Consider the following 14,328-nt stretch of genomic DNA (forward strand, 5'->3'; position numbering starts at 1 on the left):
TTATTTGGCCCTGAAAAGGAATGCAGTACTGATATATGCCATGACATGGATGGCCTTGAGAACATGAAGCTAGGTGTAAGGAAACAGTCACAGAAGGTCACATCTTGTATGATTCCATGTATATAAAATGTCCAGAGTAGACAAAACTATGGAGACATAATTGGATTATCGGTTGCTTACGCTGGTGGTGAAGGGGAAGAGGAGTGACTCCTGATGGGGTAGGGGGTTTCTTTCTGGGGTGATGAAAGTGTTCTTAAACTGATTGTGGCGATGGTTGCACAACTGTGAATATACGAAAAACCATGGAATTGTCCATTTTGCGTGGGTGAAGTATATGGTATGTGATTATATTTCAATAAAGCTGTTATAAAACAAAAAAGAAACAAAATAGAGAATTTCCCCTTTCAAGCACACCAAGTGTCACGGAAATTGATTTCACAACCGAGTGTTCTGCTTTGGTTTATGAGTGGAATTTTTATTTTTCAACAGCTTTGAGCTCATTCTTCAAGTCTCCTTTTCTCAAGGTTTGCTTTGTCCTCAGAAGCCTCCAGTTTCCCTTGCCACCGCCTGTCTCCAGTCCAGGGAACGCTATCTGTGGCCCTTGGCCCACCTCATTCCTCGCCCACCACTGCCCCCACCCCCAGTGCCCACCCTGCCAGGCTGCTGCCAGCTCCCAAATGCCAGAGCTGCCACCTGGGGCCCTGGAGACACCAGGGCCCACACTGTTGTGATGTGTTTGGATGGGGAGTGCGTTCGGTGCCAGCGTTACCAGGCTCGAAGGGTGACTAATCCCGTCTGCATTTTTGGTTTCAGCTGCCTGGCCTGCTCAGCTGGAGAACCCTGCATCTGTCAGCTGTTTTCAGAGAAGCTCACCTCACAGTTGTGGATGCCAGAGCATAAGCCCATTCCCCAGCCCCCCAGCACCACCTACACATGAGTGTGGGCCACAGAAATCGATTGAACACCTACTATGTGCCGGGCACTATTCTGAGGACACAGCAGTGATAAGAAAGAGTACTTGTTCTAACAGAATAACAAAAATACATAGGAAAGAAGGAAGGAAGGGAGGGAGGGAAAAAGAAAGAAAAAGGAAGGAAGGAAGAAAGGAAGGAAGGAAAGGAGGGAGGGAGAGAGGGAGGGAAAAAGAAAGAAAAAGGAAGAAAGAAAGGAAGGAAGGAAAGAAGGAAGGAAGAAAGGAAGGGAGGGAGGGAAGGAGGGAAAGAAAAAAGAGAGAGAAAGAAAGAAAAAGAAAGAAAGAAAGAAAGATCTAGATAATGTTAGAGGCTCTGCTCATCTAAATTAAACAAGGTGAAGTGATCGTGAATACTTAGAAGAACTTCTGATTGAGTGGTTGGTGTGGGGAGGCAGCCTCTCTGGGGAGGTGGCTGAGGACAAACCGTCTGAGTGAAGATCTGGAAAGAGAATGAGCCAACATGGTTCCTGCCTCACAGCCAAGGGGGAAGGAGAAAAAACAAAGTTGGGGCAGTGGGCAGGCCAGGTTTTCCTTTTTAAATGCCACAGGGCCAGGCATGGTGGCTCACACCTGTAATCCTAGCACTTTGGGAGGCCAAGGTGGGTGGATCACGAGGTCAGGAGATCGAGACCATCCTGGCTAACACGGTGAAACCCCATCTTTACTAAAAATACAAAAAAATTAGCCGGGTTTGATGGCATGTGCCTGTGGTCCCAGCTACTCGGGAGGCTGAGGCAGGAGAATCGCTTGAACCTGGGAGGCGGAAGTTGCTGTGAGCCGAGATCATGCCACTGCACTTCAGCCTGGGCAACAGAGCAAGACTCCATCTCAAAAAAAAAGCAACAGGAAACCATTGGGGGTTTTCACTACAGAGGAACAGAATTTGATTTACATTTTTTGAAGCTCACTCTGGCTGCTGGGTGGGGAGTGGACAGGTGTTAGGTAACGGGAAAGTTGGGACCAGGACAGCCTTCAACCCTGGTTCAGGCCCTGCTCTGTCTGCCCCCTACTTCTTCCAGTGGGGCCTGGGCAAGACTCCCCCACTCACTCTGGTAACACTGTAGTGGTTTTGGTTGGGGTTTATTTTTCAGCCTCGGGTTCTTGCTCTGTTGCTAGGCTGAAGTGCAGTGGGCTCAAGCAATCCTCCCGCCTCAGCCTTCCAAGTATCTGGAGTCACAAGCATGACCGATGGCACCCAGCTAACTTTTTTTTTTTTTTTTTTTTTACTTTTTGTGGAGAACAGGATTTTGCTGTGTTGCCCAGGCTGGTCTCAAACTCCTGGGATCAAGCAATCCTCCAGCCTCAGCCTCCCAAAGTGCTGAGATTATAGGTGTGAGCCACTGCACCTGGCCTAACTTTATTTTTTAAAAGGAAATTATGTCATAGCCAAAGGCCATGGGTTTGACGCACAGGTTACATGTGTTTTCTAATCCACATGAACATAAATGTATAACTTTTTTTTTTTTATGAGACAGAATCTCACTCTGTCGCCCAGGCTGGAGGGCAGTGGCGTGATCTCGGCTCACTGCAGCCTCTGCCTCTCGGGTTCAAGTGATTCTCCTGCCTCAGCCTCCCAAGTAGCTGGGATTACAGACATGTGCCACCATGCCTGGCTAATTTTTGTATTTTTAGTAGAGACAGGGTTTTGCCATGTTGGCCAGGCTGGTCTCAAACTCCTGACCTCAGGGTGATCCACCCACCTCGGCCCCCAAAAGTGGTGGGTTCACAGGCATGAGCTACAGTGCCCAGCCTCCAAAATATATAACTATTTTTAAAGTTTAGGTGAATGAGTGAATATAGTCTTAATGCTAAAGATGAATAGTGAAATTATAAGAATAAAGGTTTATGGGAACACATGGATTTGACACAGTATTTTTTCTAATATACATTAAAATAAAATACTTATTTTTTAAAAATGTTAACCCAAGTACCAGTTTGAATCATCTCATGCAAGTTTGGGAAATAGCAATACATAAATTAGGGTCGGGGACTTCACGCTAGCCGGGCTCTGGCTATGGTATTTCCTGGTTGTGAGGCTTTGACCTGGTTACTTAACCTCTCTGAGCCTGAGTTTCCTCTTCAGTGAAGTGGAGATAATGACCCAACCTCATCAGGGTGTTGTGAGAACTAAATGTATGAGAAGTGTTTAGAATGGTGCTGCACAGAGCGCTGGCTGAACACACAATATCTAGTTACACAAATCAAACAGGCTGCAATTAAATTCCACCAGAAGGCTGGGTGCACCACGGCACTCCAGCCTGGGCCACAAAGTGAGACTCTGTCTCAAAAAAAAAAAAAAAAAATTCCACCAGGCTTTCCTGAGCACCTACTATGTCCTGGACCCTGTAATAAAGACTAAGGGTCCAGAGGTAAACAAGAACAGTCCCTGCCCTGATACTGCTAATCATCTAACTGGGAAGACAGACAAGCCTCTATGTAATCACAACCCATGGTAAAAGGGGCATAGTAAAAGGATGCTACAAGGGGCACAGGTGGTCCAGAGGAAGGAGGGAATGCTGCTGCCTAGGGCAAAGTCATGGACAGCTTCTAGGAAAAGGTGCTGGTTAATTTGGGTTTTAATGGATGAATAGGAGTTTGCCAGGCAGACAGAGAGGAATGAGAACATTCCAGGCACAGGGAACAGCATATGCAAAGGTATGGAGGCCTGAAGTAGGAAACTACTAGAGCATAAAGTGCAAGAGGTTGATGGCGATACTCCCAGGTCCTACCTTTACCCCAAGCTTGGAAGGTGCCTAAATCGAGGGGGGCTGTGAACGCACGCCCCTGCCTCCATTTTCTCCTGAGCCTGAGTGGAGATAAAGAAACTGCTGATTCAAAGATGAATAGAAAGAACTCAGACTCCAGAGTAGATGGCCATGGCGTGAAACCTTTTACCCTGTGCAAACTGGGTCCATATTTTCCTCATCTGTGACATGGGGATGAGGTACTTGATTTGCTGAGAGTTAAACAAGACAAGTGAATAAAGGGCTGGGCACAGGCCTGGCTCACGGTAGGCACTCAATGCCAGGCTTCCTCGTTCTTGTCCCCACCCCACCCCCACTGCAGTGTGTAGCGAGCTGAGCCACCCAGGGAGGGTGGGAAGGAGACTCCCAGCAGCCTGCATGCCCAGCCCAGCAGAAGCCAGACCAGCTAAGCCAGACCAGCTAATCCAGCCCCAGCCTGTCCTTCCCCTGGCCCCACCATGCCACTCTCCACACCCGGGAGTTCCCAGGTGGGCAGGTCATGGCAAATGAGATGCATACACATTGCTGAGGACAACTGAGTGACCTGTGTGCTCCAGCCTCTGCACACACGATTCCAGCCAAGGACACCTTTGCTGGATCTTATCACAGCCCATTTTATCACCTACTGTGCAGACAAAGAGGCCTTGTCCAAGGTCACACAGTCAGGATCAGGATTGGTAGGGGCTCCAGGATTCCTTCTTTGTCTCCTGCACACGCAAGTGCATGTGTCTGTGTGGTCTGAGTCCCTCCAAGGGCCCCCCCCGACCTGCCTTTCTGGCCACCAGCCCCACCCCTAATTTCCTCCCTCACTCCTTCCACCCACGTCACAGTGAACCGCTTGCAGTCCCCAATGACTCTGCTTACTGTACACCCTGTGCCTTCTGCGGGCTATCCTCCACACCTGAAATGCTCTTCCTTAACCCTCACTCCTCTATTCACTCCTCTCCCATCTGCCAAACTCCTACTCATCCTTCAGGGCCCAGCCCAATTGCCTCCTCCAAGAAGCCTTGCCCAACAGAGTCAGTCTTATCATCCTTTTTGATCATAGGGTATCTTGAAATCACAATGACCGAAGAGAGAACAGACTTTCAACTTTGATCCTCATTGTGTCTACTAATAACTTCTTTTTTTTTTTTTTTTTTTTTTTGAGTCTCACTCTGTCGCCCAGGCTGGAGTGCAGTAACGCGATCTTGGCTCACTGCAAGCTCCGCCTCCCGAGTTCATGCCGTTCTTCTGCCTCAGCCTCCCGAGTAGCTGGGACTACAGGCACCCGCCACCACACCCAGCTAATTTTTTGTGTTTTTAGTAGAGACGGGGTTTCACTGTGTTAGCCAGGATGGTCTCGATCTCCTGACCTCGTGATCTGCCTGCCTCAGCCTCCCAAAGTGCTGGGATTACAGGCGTGAGCCTCCGCACCTAGCCTACTAATAACTTCTTAATGAACAAATAAGAGAATTCATAAATCAACTACTTTGCCGTTGCATGCTTTTAAGAGCTGCGATTTTGTTTATTGATTTTTGTTGTTGTTGAGAGCAGAGTGTGGCACGCTGATGGGGTTGCCATGTGCAACCTCATAGAGTGTGCACTGCGCAATGCCTTGGGGTGCTGAGCACACAGGCAGTGATGTGAATTACACTGTCTGGAGATGGGCAACGCGCCAGCCCTGACCCTTGGCCATTCTGGAAATATTTGCAACTCATCAGGTGGTGGAGCAAAAGGGGCACAGGCATTGCATTCAGACTCACTTGGGTTCAAATCCCAGTTTTGCCACTTCCCCACTGTGTGCTCCCAGACAAATGACTTAACCTCTCTGAACTTCTGTCGTAAAACGGGAACAGGCACCCACCTCACAGAGCTTCTGCTAGAGTTATATAAGTCAATAGAAAATGTCTAACATGTAGCAGGCCCACAATAAGTGTTCATTCCCCTCCTTGAACATCTGGAATTCCTGCTCTTCTCCCCTAACTTCCAGATTGTTTGCATGTCTAGGATGCAAATGAGATATCCTAAGCCAGGCTCTTCCTAGACTGGCTGCAATACCTTTTTTGTCCTTGCTTCTATAAGCTTTGGCACTAGGTCCAGTTCTGACATGAATTAGTAAGGTCCTATTCCTCCAGGAATTTATCTCACTGGTGATCTCATATATGTGCAAGAGAATGTGCACTGAAGTATCGTGAATAGAAGCCAAAGACTGGAAACAACCTCCGTGCCCATTAGAAGAAACAGATCAATGAATTACATGCATGCATGCAGTGGGTACCAGACAGTCGTAACAAAGAGACAGCTCTCCACATACTCACAGTAAGTCATCTCCCAGATAATGTAAGAGAAAAAGAAAGGTATGGGATAATTTGTTGCATTGAGCAGCTGGGGGTCAGGGTCTAACCACAGAACAGAGAAAAATGGCATGAGGGACTAATGCTCAGTTTACCCAAGGATGGCGCAGACCTGGAACCATAGGGATGTAGAGGAGAGAAGTTAATTCCTTACACACCACAGATGCCGTGGGGCATTGAGACCTAGTTCTCTTGTGGAAGCCCCCTGAGAAAGCCTGGACAGACCATCTCTGGAAGAACATGCAAGAAACTGATAACATCAGTTTCTGGAATAGAGAATGAGGTGACTGAGGGTAGGCTTGGAAAGAAGTCACTTGTCACAGATCAGACCCTTGAGTAGTTTTAAGTATTTTGCTATGGATGTGATTTAATCTGTAAAAATGAAAGCAAACCATTTTAAATAAGGATTTTGTAAGGCCCATATGTCTGAAATAATAATAACTTGCTGTTTGACCTTGGGTGGGACTCATAGGGACTCCATATCTCCATCTTTGAAATGAAAAGACCGTCTCAAGAAGAAATGCAGGCTGCACATCAGAGACCCATTCCTGAGTCCCAGCACCCAGGGCTGTGGGCCTGGGCAGAACATTGCATTTCAGTGGGGCCAAACCAACCAAGGCATGTTTGTCCTCAGAGGGAATGAGACATCAGCCATCCTGAGCCACTCCAGATTCAAGCACACGCTTCATGTCCCAATAACAGAAGCTTGTTGTTTACATCGTTTCCCAGGGAGCAGGATTACAGCAGCCCCTGGCTCAGGGGGCCTAATTTTAAACACTGGGTTCTGGGCAGACAGCATAAAAAGGCCAGACCCTGGCTACCTATAAGACACAGGTACTAAAAAAAAAAAAAGGTGACCCTGAGGGTAGATAACAGAAAAGAGAAAACAGTCTCTCCCTTCTACCTTTCTCCTCCCACAAACTGACTTTTTCAGCAAGTACCTATCCTCCAGGAGCTCCAAGGAGCAGGAGACAGGCAGCTATCACTGCCTGGGGGGCAGTTCGCATTTTACCCAAAGTCTCAAAGCTGCCTGATCCTAAGAATGCCATCTGGGAGCATCAGTTCAAAACAGATCACTAGGCCCCAGACAGGTGGTTCTTAGGGATCTATTTGAATTTCCTGATTATTTCATAATGTTTTTCATTTGTTTGATTGGTGAGTTTGCTTCACAGTTTGTTTAGATCAGAGTCCTAATGAGATCCAGACATGGTGACTGGTTGGCATGTCTCCTAATCTGCTTTACTCTACAGATTCCCCCTCCCTGTATTTATTTATTTACTTGTTTAGTTCTTATTTGTCTGTCTTTTTTCTTGCATTTTATTTGTAGAAGAGACCAGCTGTTTATCTATAGAATGTCCCACATCTGAAGTATGCTGACTACATCCCTGTGGTGCTACTTAACATGTTCCTCTGTCCCCTGTAGCTTCTGTAACCTGGTTGAATCTAGGGACTTGTTCAGATTCAGGTTAGAGTTTTGGGCAAGACTGTTCCATGGGCGGTGCCACGTTCTGCCACCCACAGGCTCATACTACCTGCTTGTCTGTCTCTTTGTGATGTGAGCAGCTGTAGTTGCCCGATGCCTGGTTCCATTACCCCATCAGGAGTGGAACGATGACTTTCTCGTCTATCATCCCTTCTACATTTTTAAGCAGAAATAGAAACTTCCACTCATCAACCTTTTGATTACCTGGAGGTGCCATTTATACAGAAAGTGCAGAATTAATTATTTAAATCCTTTTGGCAAAGTGAATATGAACTTGCAGTGGGAGTGGGCAGGTTCCTCTGAGCCGGTCTACACAGGTGTAAACTGGAGGTGCTGGTGACCTCACAGCTTTATCCTGGTATCTGGGGAGAGCTCATCCTCTTAGCAAATGCTGTGTGCATATGCATGCTTTCCAGGGCACCTCACAAGGTTTTCCAGCCTCTTCCCTGGCCCCAGCCTCAGTCCCAAACCCACTGTTGAAAGACGGCCAATGCCCGTAGGACCCTCTCTAAGCAATGCACAAATTCTAAGCAAGACACAAATCCAGTTCACCTCTGTGGCCCGGTCTGCAGATAAGAATGCTAATACCTCCCTCCCAGGGTGGCTGTGGGTACCAAATGAGATAAGGCAGAAGGGCCTGACACTTGGGGAAACCCAGTAAGAAGTCCTCCTTTTTCCCAGTCAGGAAGCATAGGGCTCTACGGCCCTCCCACCCTAAGGATCGTGCGCGCGCGCACAAACACACACACACACACCGGGCATCAGTGCCTCCCAGCAGCCCCGGCAGCCAGCCGGGCAGCCCTATTGTTCAGCCACTTTCCCAGCCCGAAGGGGGCCGCTGGGAACGCGAGGAGGCCCCGGCCCTTCCTGCTCCGTCGCTGACGCGCGGCCTGCGGAAGGAACAGCGCGTCTCTTGGGGCCAAACGCATTCCATTCATGCCCCGGCGGGCAGCACGCACGTCCGCACCTCGGCTCCCAGCGCACAGGCTCACTGGCGATCCGGGCCCGACTTGCTTAGGGAGAGAGAGACTTGGATGGAGAAGTCAGATGAGCAGATCCCGCTTGATATCCCGAACCCTCCCTTCCGGGAGCCCTGCGAGGATGCGCGCATCAGCCCATTCTACGGCTAAGAAAAGTGGAGCGCAGAGGCCGGGTGCGGGAGCTCATTCCTGTAATCCCAGTTCTTTGGGAGGCCGAGGCGGGCAGATCTCTTGAGCCCAGAAGTTCGAGACCAGCCTGGCCAACATGGCGAAACTTTGTCACTACAAAAATACAAAAATGTACCTGTTATGGTGGCGCAAGCGTGTAGTCCCAGCTCCTTTGGAGGCTGAGGTGGGAGGATCACTTGAGACAGGGAACCCGAGGCTGCAGTGAGCCATGATCGCACCGCTGCACTCCAGCCCGGGTGACAGAACAAGACCGTGGAGAGACAGAGAGAGAGCCAATACCTCCTAAGCACCTGCTTTTCTCCTTTCATCCTCCTGACAACCTGGCCAAATACAGTGTCTTTCTAGGAAGTAACTGAATCCAGGTTTTCCTGGGTCCAAAGATATTATTTCTCCACACAGCACAATGGTGGACTCTGACACCATCACAGCAGAACTTAAATCCTGGCTTCATCACTCAGATAGCGGCCAGGCAAAGGCAAGTTGCAGCATTTCTCTGTGCCTCAGTTTCTTATGTGTAAAATGGATATGATAACAGTCCGTACTGATAGAGTTATTGTGAACATTCTAGAAAATGATACACGTAGTTCAAGCTATTGCTATAATTTAGCTTCTAGAACTTAAAAAGCTGTGAAATGGAGCCGGAGTGACCAACTGTCCCAGTCTGCTGGAGCCGAAAGCCCTGCATGCCGGAATTTCCATGCTAAAACCAAGACAGTCCCTGGCAAACCAAGACAGATGGTCACCCATAACAAAGCTGTTGGTTTTTTTGTTTGTTTTTATTTTGTTTTGTTTTTGAGACGGAGTCTCACTCTGTTGCCCATGCTGGAATGTGGTGTTATGATCTCGGCTCACTGCAACCTCCATCTCCCGGGTTCAAGCGATTCTCCCGCCTCAGCCTCCTGAGTAACGAAGCTGTTTTTAAAAGTCCATGCTCCTCTCCAAAGGGCAGGACAATGGCCATTCATGCTCTCACTATCGAGATTTTCCCAGAATTCCTTGGGCCTCGAGCCCTTTGTCCTGCTCTCCCTGCTCCACCCTTGCTTAGCCAAAGGGAAACCAGACATTCTTGACATGAAAATTTTCCACATCCTTCAGGGCAATCTTTTGGTGCCAGAAATAGTCAGTAGGATTTGGGAGTTAGCCCAGGCCACTAAAAATAGCTTTCATTGCCCCCCGGAAGGCCTGCGCCATCTCGACTCCAGACGGCCTAATGAGCTGCCCGCCTGGGCCAGCGCCTTAAATGACCAAGAGCTCTGCTGGTCTGGCTGATCAAGGGCGCAGAGGAGGTCAGCTCCCACTCAGCTTCCTCAAACCGCCTATCAGGCCAGGACCACCCGGGCCGCCCACCCAGAGACATCCCCTCCTCCACCCACTGGCATGCTTATGTCCTTGACTCAGGCAAGCACAGCACCATCACACGCGTCCACACCTGGACAATCACCCACAGCCTCACGGGTGTCTCTACAAACGGGAACACACAGCCACACCCTCTCTGCCTTCTATACACTTCAACACACCCAAAACAGCCACACACATGCGCTCATGGCTAGCATATCATTTTCACTATATAAATGTCAAGCTGTCCTCTGCATTCCTAACACAGTGGTTCCAAACTTTCCTATCTTTGCATCTATTCCTCCGCAACTCCCACTCCGTCCCAGGAAGATTTTTGTTAAATTTGCATTTTTCTATTGGGACCTGGAGCTTGAGAACAAGAAAACAAGAAGTTTGAATACACATTCTCAAAATATTTTCAAACTGTCTGCTTCTCCCCCGATCTGACATCTGTCCTCTACCTGCCTCCTATCAAGTCAACGAGAATCCAAGGCCAATAAAGAAGGAGGATCTGGCCAGGTGCGGTGGCTCACGTTTGTAATCCCAACACTTTGGGAGGCCAAGGCAGGTGAATCACCTGAAGTCAGGAGTTCGAGACTAGCCTGGCTAACACAGTGAAACCCCGTCTCTACTAAAAACACAAAAATTAGCTGGGCGTGGTGGCAGGCGCCTGTAATCCCAGCTACTCAGGAGGCTGAGGCAGGAGAATCACTTGAACCCGGGAGGCAGAGGTTGCAGTGAGCCGAGATCATGCCACTGCACTACAGCCTGGGCAACAGAGCAAGACTCTGCTTCAAAAAAGAAAGGAAGGAAGGAAGGAAAGAAAAGAAAAGAAAGGAGGGAGGGAGGGAGGAAAGAGAAAGAAAGAAACAGAAAGAAAAAGAAAGAAAGAAAAGGAAGGAAAGAAAGCAAGAAAGAAAGAGAAAGAAAAGAAAGAAAGAAAGGAGGGAGGGAGGGAAGAAAGAGAGAAAGAAGGAAAGAAAGGAAGGAAGGAAGGAAAGAAAGAAAGGAAGGAAGGAAGGAAGGAAAGAAAGGAAAGAAAGAAAAGAAAAGAGAAAATCCCTGGGGAGCACCCAGGGGGCTCCAGATCCTCAGCCCAGCCTTGCAGCTTGACCCTCACAGCCCGGTCTAGGAGGGAGAAGGTGGGAAGGTGCCCTGCCCAGGGTGAGGGGCCAGGGCTAGGAGGCCAAGACACCTGGAGGTCATTGCTACACACAGGAGCAGAAGCATTTGCTGGTGCTTCTACCTAGATTCAGCCCCAGGCTGCCTGCCTGCTCTCTGAAGGGGAAACAGAAGAGGAAGAAGAAGAGGTCTATACTGGAACTAGCCCGCAAAAATGTGGAGGCCACATCCTTGCCCTGCGGAAAAGCAGAGAAAGAAGAACTGCCTGCCAGGGTCTGACAAGACCCCAGCAGCAAGGCAGGAAGTGGGGTTCCCGTCAGGACCCTCCCACCCACATTCTGACCTGTGCCGGGAACTTTCCCTTCACTACACTTCAGCTCCCACTGGCAGGTGGTGTACACAGGGCACCTTCCTGTGCAGACAGTCCATGGTCCTGTTCATTCACTCATCCATTTATTCCAAAACACATTTCTTGAGCACCTGCTATGTTCTAGGCCTGGGCTGGTGCTGGGAGAAACAGCTGTGAACAAGACCGCCAAGGTCCCTGCCCTACCAGTGCCTACAGGGCCGTCAGGAAGATAACACTAAGCCACAGTCACCCTTTAACAGAAGCTGGAGCAGTGCCTGGGGCATCGCGTGCTCAGGGAATGCAGGCTGCATGGGACAGCCATGGCTGAGGGTGCTATTAACCAAGGAATGGGTGCCCAGACAGAGCAACGTAGGCCACAGGAGGTAATGCAATCGATAAGACCCTCTGAGCAGGGGGAGAAGCCAGCCTCACAAAAGGGTGTGGAGAGGGGTGGGAATATGTTGGGTGTGAGTGTGCATGCGTGTGACTACACGTGAGTGTGTATGGGAATGGGTATTGTGTGAGCAAACATATTTGAGTGTGAATATTATGTGTGTGTGGGTGCGTGAGTGTGTGTGGTTGCTTGTGAGCGTGTGTGTGTGTGTTAGTGTTCGGGAATGTGTGGGTGGGTGTGAGCATGTGTGAGCGTGAGCATGTGTGAGTGCATGTATTTGAGCGTGTATGTGAGCATGTGTGGTGTGCGTTTGTTGGGTGGAGGGGTTAGAGTTCCAGGCAGAGGGAAAGGTGCAAATGCTCTGCAGTGGGAATAAGCTCAGTTTCTTGAAGAAATGAAAGAAAACCCACGTGTTGTTTGCAGTGGTCAGTGGAAGGGACACTATGCCGTAGTGATACATAGTGAGGGCTTGCCATGTGCCTGACCCTGTGCTTACTACAGTAACTCATTTGGCTCTCTCCACAACCTGATGAGCTATATTCTATTACTAATCCATTTTACAGGTGAAGAACCTGAGACACTGAGAAGTTAAATAACACCCAAGGTCACAGACGTCGGAAGCAACACCACTAGAATTTCAACCACAGGCCTTGCTCTTAACCACTCTGCCAGGGACCCAGACTAGCTGGGCCTATGGAGGACACAGAAAGAGTTGGGCTTTATCCTGGATAAGATGGTAAGCCACTGGAAGGTTCTAAGCAGAAATATGACTTCATGTATTAGAATTAGGTTCATTTCCAATAAAAGCCCAGCATTACAGTAGCTTAAACAACACAGAAAGATAAAAATATAGTTTGCTCACACACACAAAAAGCCCACCAGATTTAAGAGAATGAGAAGACAAGCCTCAGGTTGGGAGAAAATATTTGCAAAAGATATATCTGATAAAGAGCTGTCATCCAAAATACACATAGAGCTCTTAAAATTCAACAGTATGGAAACAACCCACTTTAAAAATGAATAAAAGATACCTTAGATACCTTACAAACAAGATACACAGATGGCAAGCGAGCCTGTGAAAAAATGCTCAGCATCATGTGTCATCAGAGAAATTCAAATTAAAGCAACAGTGAGACACCACTACACACCTAGTTAAATGGCCAAAATCCAAAACTCGGATGCCACCAAATGCTGGAGAGGATGTGGGGCAATAGGAAGTCTCATCCAGGGCTGGTGAAAATGAAAAATGCTACAGCCACTTTGGAAGACAGTTTGACAGCTTCTTACAAAACTAAACATACTCTTGCCATGCAACCTAGCAATTGTGCTCCTTGGCATTTACCTAAAGGAATTGAAAATATTTCCACACAAAAACCTGCATGTGGATGTTTATAGCATCCAAACTCACAATTGCCAAAACTTGGAAGCAAGCATGATGTCCTTCAGCAGGTAAGTGAATAAACTGTAATACATCCAGAGAATGAAATATTATTCTGTGTTAAAAAGAAATGAGCTATCAAAGCCATAGAAGAGACATGGATGAATCTCAAATGCATATTACTAAGTGAAACACATTGATCTGAAAAGGCTACATACCATATGACATTCTGAAAAAGGCAAAACTACGGAGACAGTGAAAAGATCAGTGGTTGCCAGGAGTTATGGGGAGGGAGGGCTGAATACGCAGAGTATAGAGGATTTTGAAGGCAGTGAAACTCCTCTGTACGATACTACAATTGGGGATACCTATCACTAGACATTTGTCCAAACCCACAGAATGTCCAATACCAAGGGCGAATCCTAATGTAAACTATGGACTTTGGGTGATACTGATGTGTCAGTGTCGTTAACAGACTGTAACAAATGCACCACTCGCTCTGGTGGGGAATGTTGACAGTGGAGAAGTCTATGTGTATGTGAGGACGGGAGTATATGCGAAATCTCTGTACCTTCTGCTCAATTTTGCCATGAGCCTAAAACTGCTCTAAGAAATGGAGTCCATTGAAAAAATTTTTTTAAAAAGAGCCAATGATGCACACGAAAACATGGATTAATCTCAAAAAGCATGCTAATTGAAATAGACACAATAAAGGAATACTATATAATTCCACTTATAGAAAACTCTAGAAATCACAACTTTAGTCTACAGTGACAGAAAGCATAATGCTAGTTGGCTAAGGTGGGGAGGTTACGGACTGATTGGGAAGGAGCACAAAGGAATTTTTGACCACGGATATGTTCCATATCTTGAATGTATTGGTAGGTATAATACAGTCTGCAAACAATTGTTGAAATTTAAAAATATACAAAACTGTATAAATCTGTCAGAATATATTAAATTGTAAGCTTAAGTGAGATATAGTTATTAAAATAAATATTATCTCAATGAAGTTAGAAAAAGGAAAACTTTAAAAAGTGCACCA

The 14,328-nt window shown here is 47.6% G+C and overlaps 3 annotated features.

Moving 5' to 3' along the window:
* Nucleotides 3,613-4,114: an enhancer, noted in NCBI's record as "H3K4me1 hESC enhancer chr5:172170835-172171336 (GRCh37/hg19 assembly coordinates)". NCBI's record gives its function as "activates a minimal SCP1, AML or CMV promoter by ChIP-STARR-seq in naive H9 embryonic stem cells {active_cell/tissue: H9 hESC(naive)}" and the evidence as "EXISTENCE:reporter gene assay evidence [ECO:0000049][PMID:30033119]".
* Nucleotides 4,115-4,614: an enhancer, noted in NCBI's record as "H3K4me1 hESC enhancer chr5:172171337-172171836 (GRCh37/hg19 assembly coordinates)". NCBI's record gives its function as "activates a minimal SCP1, AML or CMV promoter by ChIP-STARR-seq in naive H9 embryonic stem cells {active_cell/tissue: H9 hESC(naive)}" and the evidence as "EXISTENCE:reporter gene assay evidence [ECO:0000049][PMID:30033119]".
* Nucleotides 9,666-10,015: an enhancer, noted in NCBI's record as "heart enhancer 25". NCBI's record gives its function as "activates a minimal c-fos promoter by transgenic reporter assays in zebrafish embryonic heart {active_cell/tissue: heart(embryonic)}" and the evidence as "EXISTENCE:transgenic organism evidence [ECO:0001131][PMID:20075146]".

This window comes from Homo sapiens, chromosome 5 (assembly GCF_000001405.40).
Source record: "Homo sapiens chromosome 5, GRCh38.p14 Primary Assembly".
In the NCBI taxonomy this organism is placed as follows: domain Eukaryota; kingdom Metazoa; phylum Chordata; class Mammalia; order Primates; family Hominidae; genus Homo; species Homo sapiens.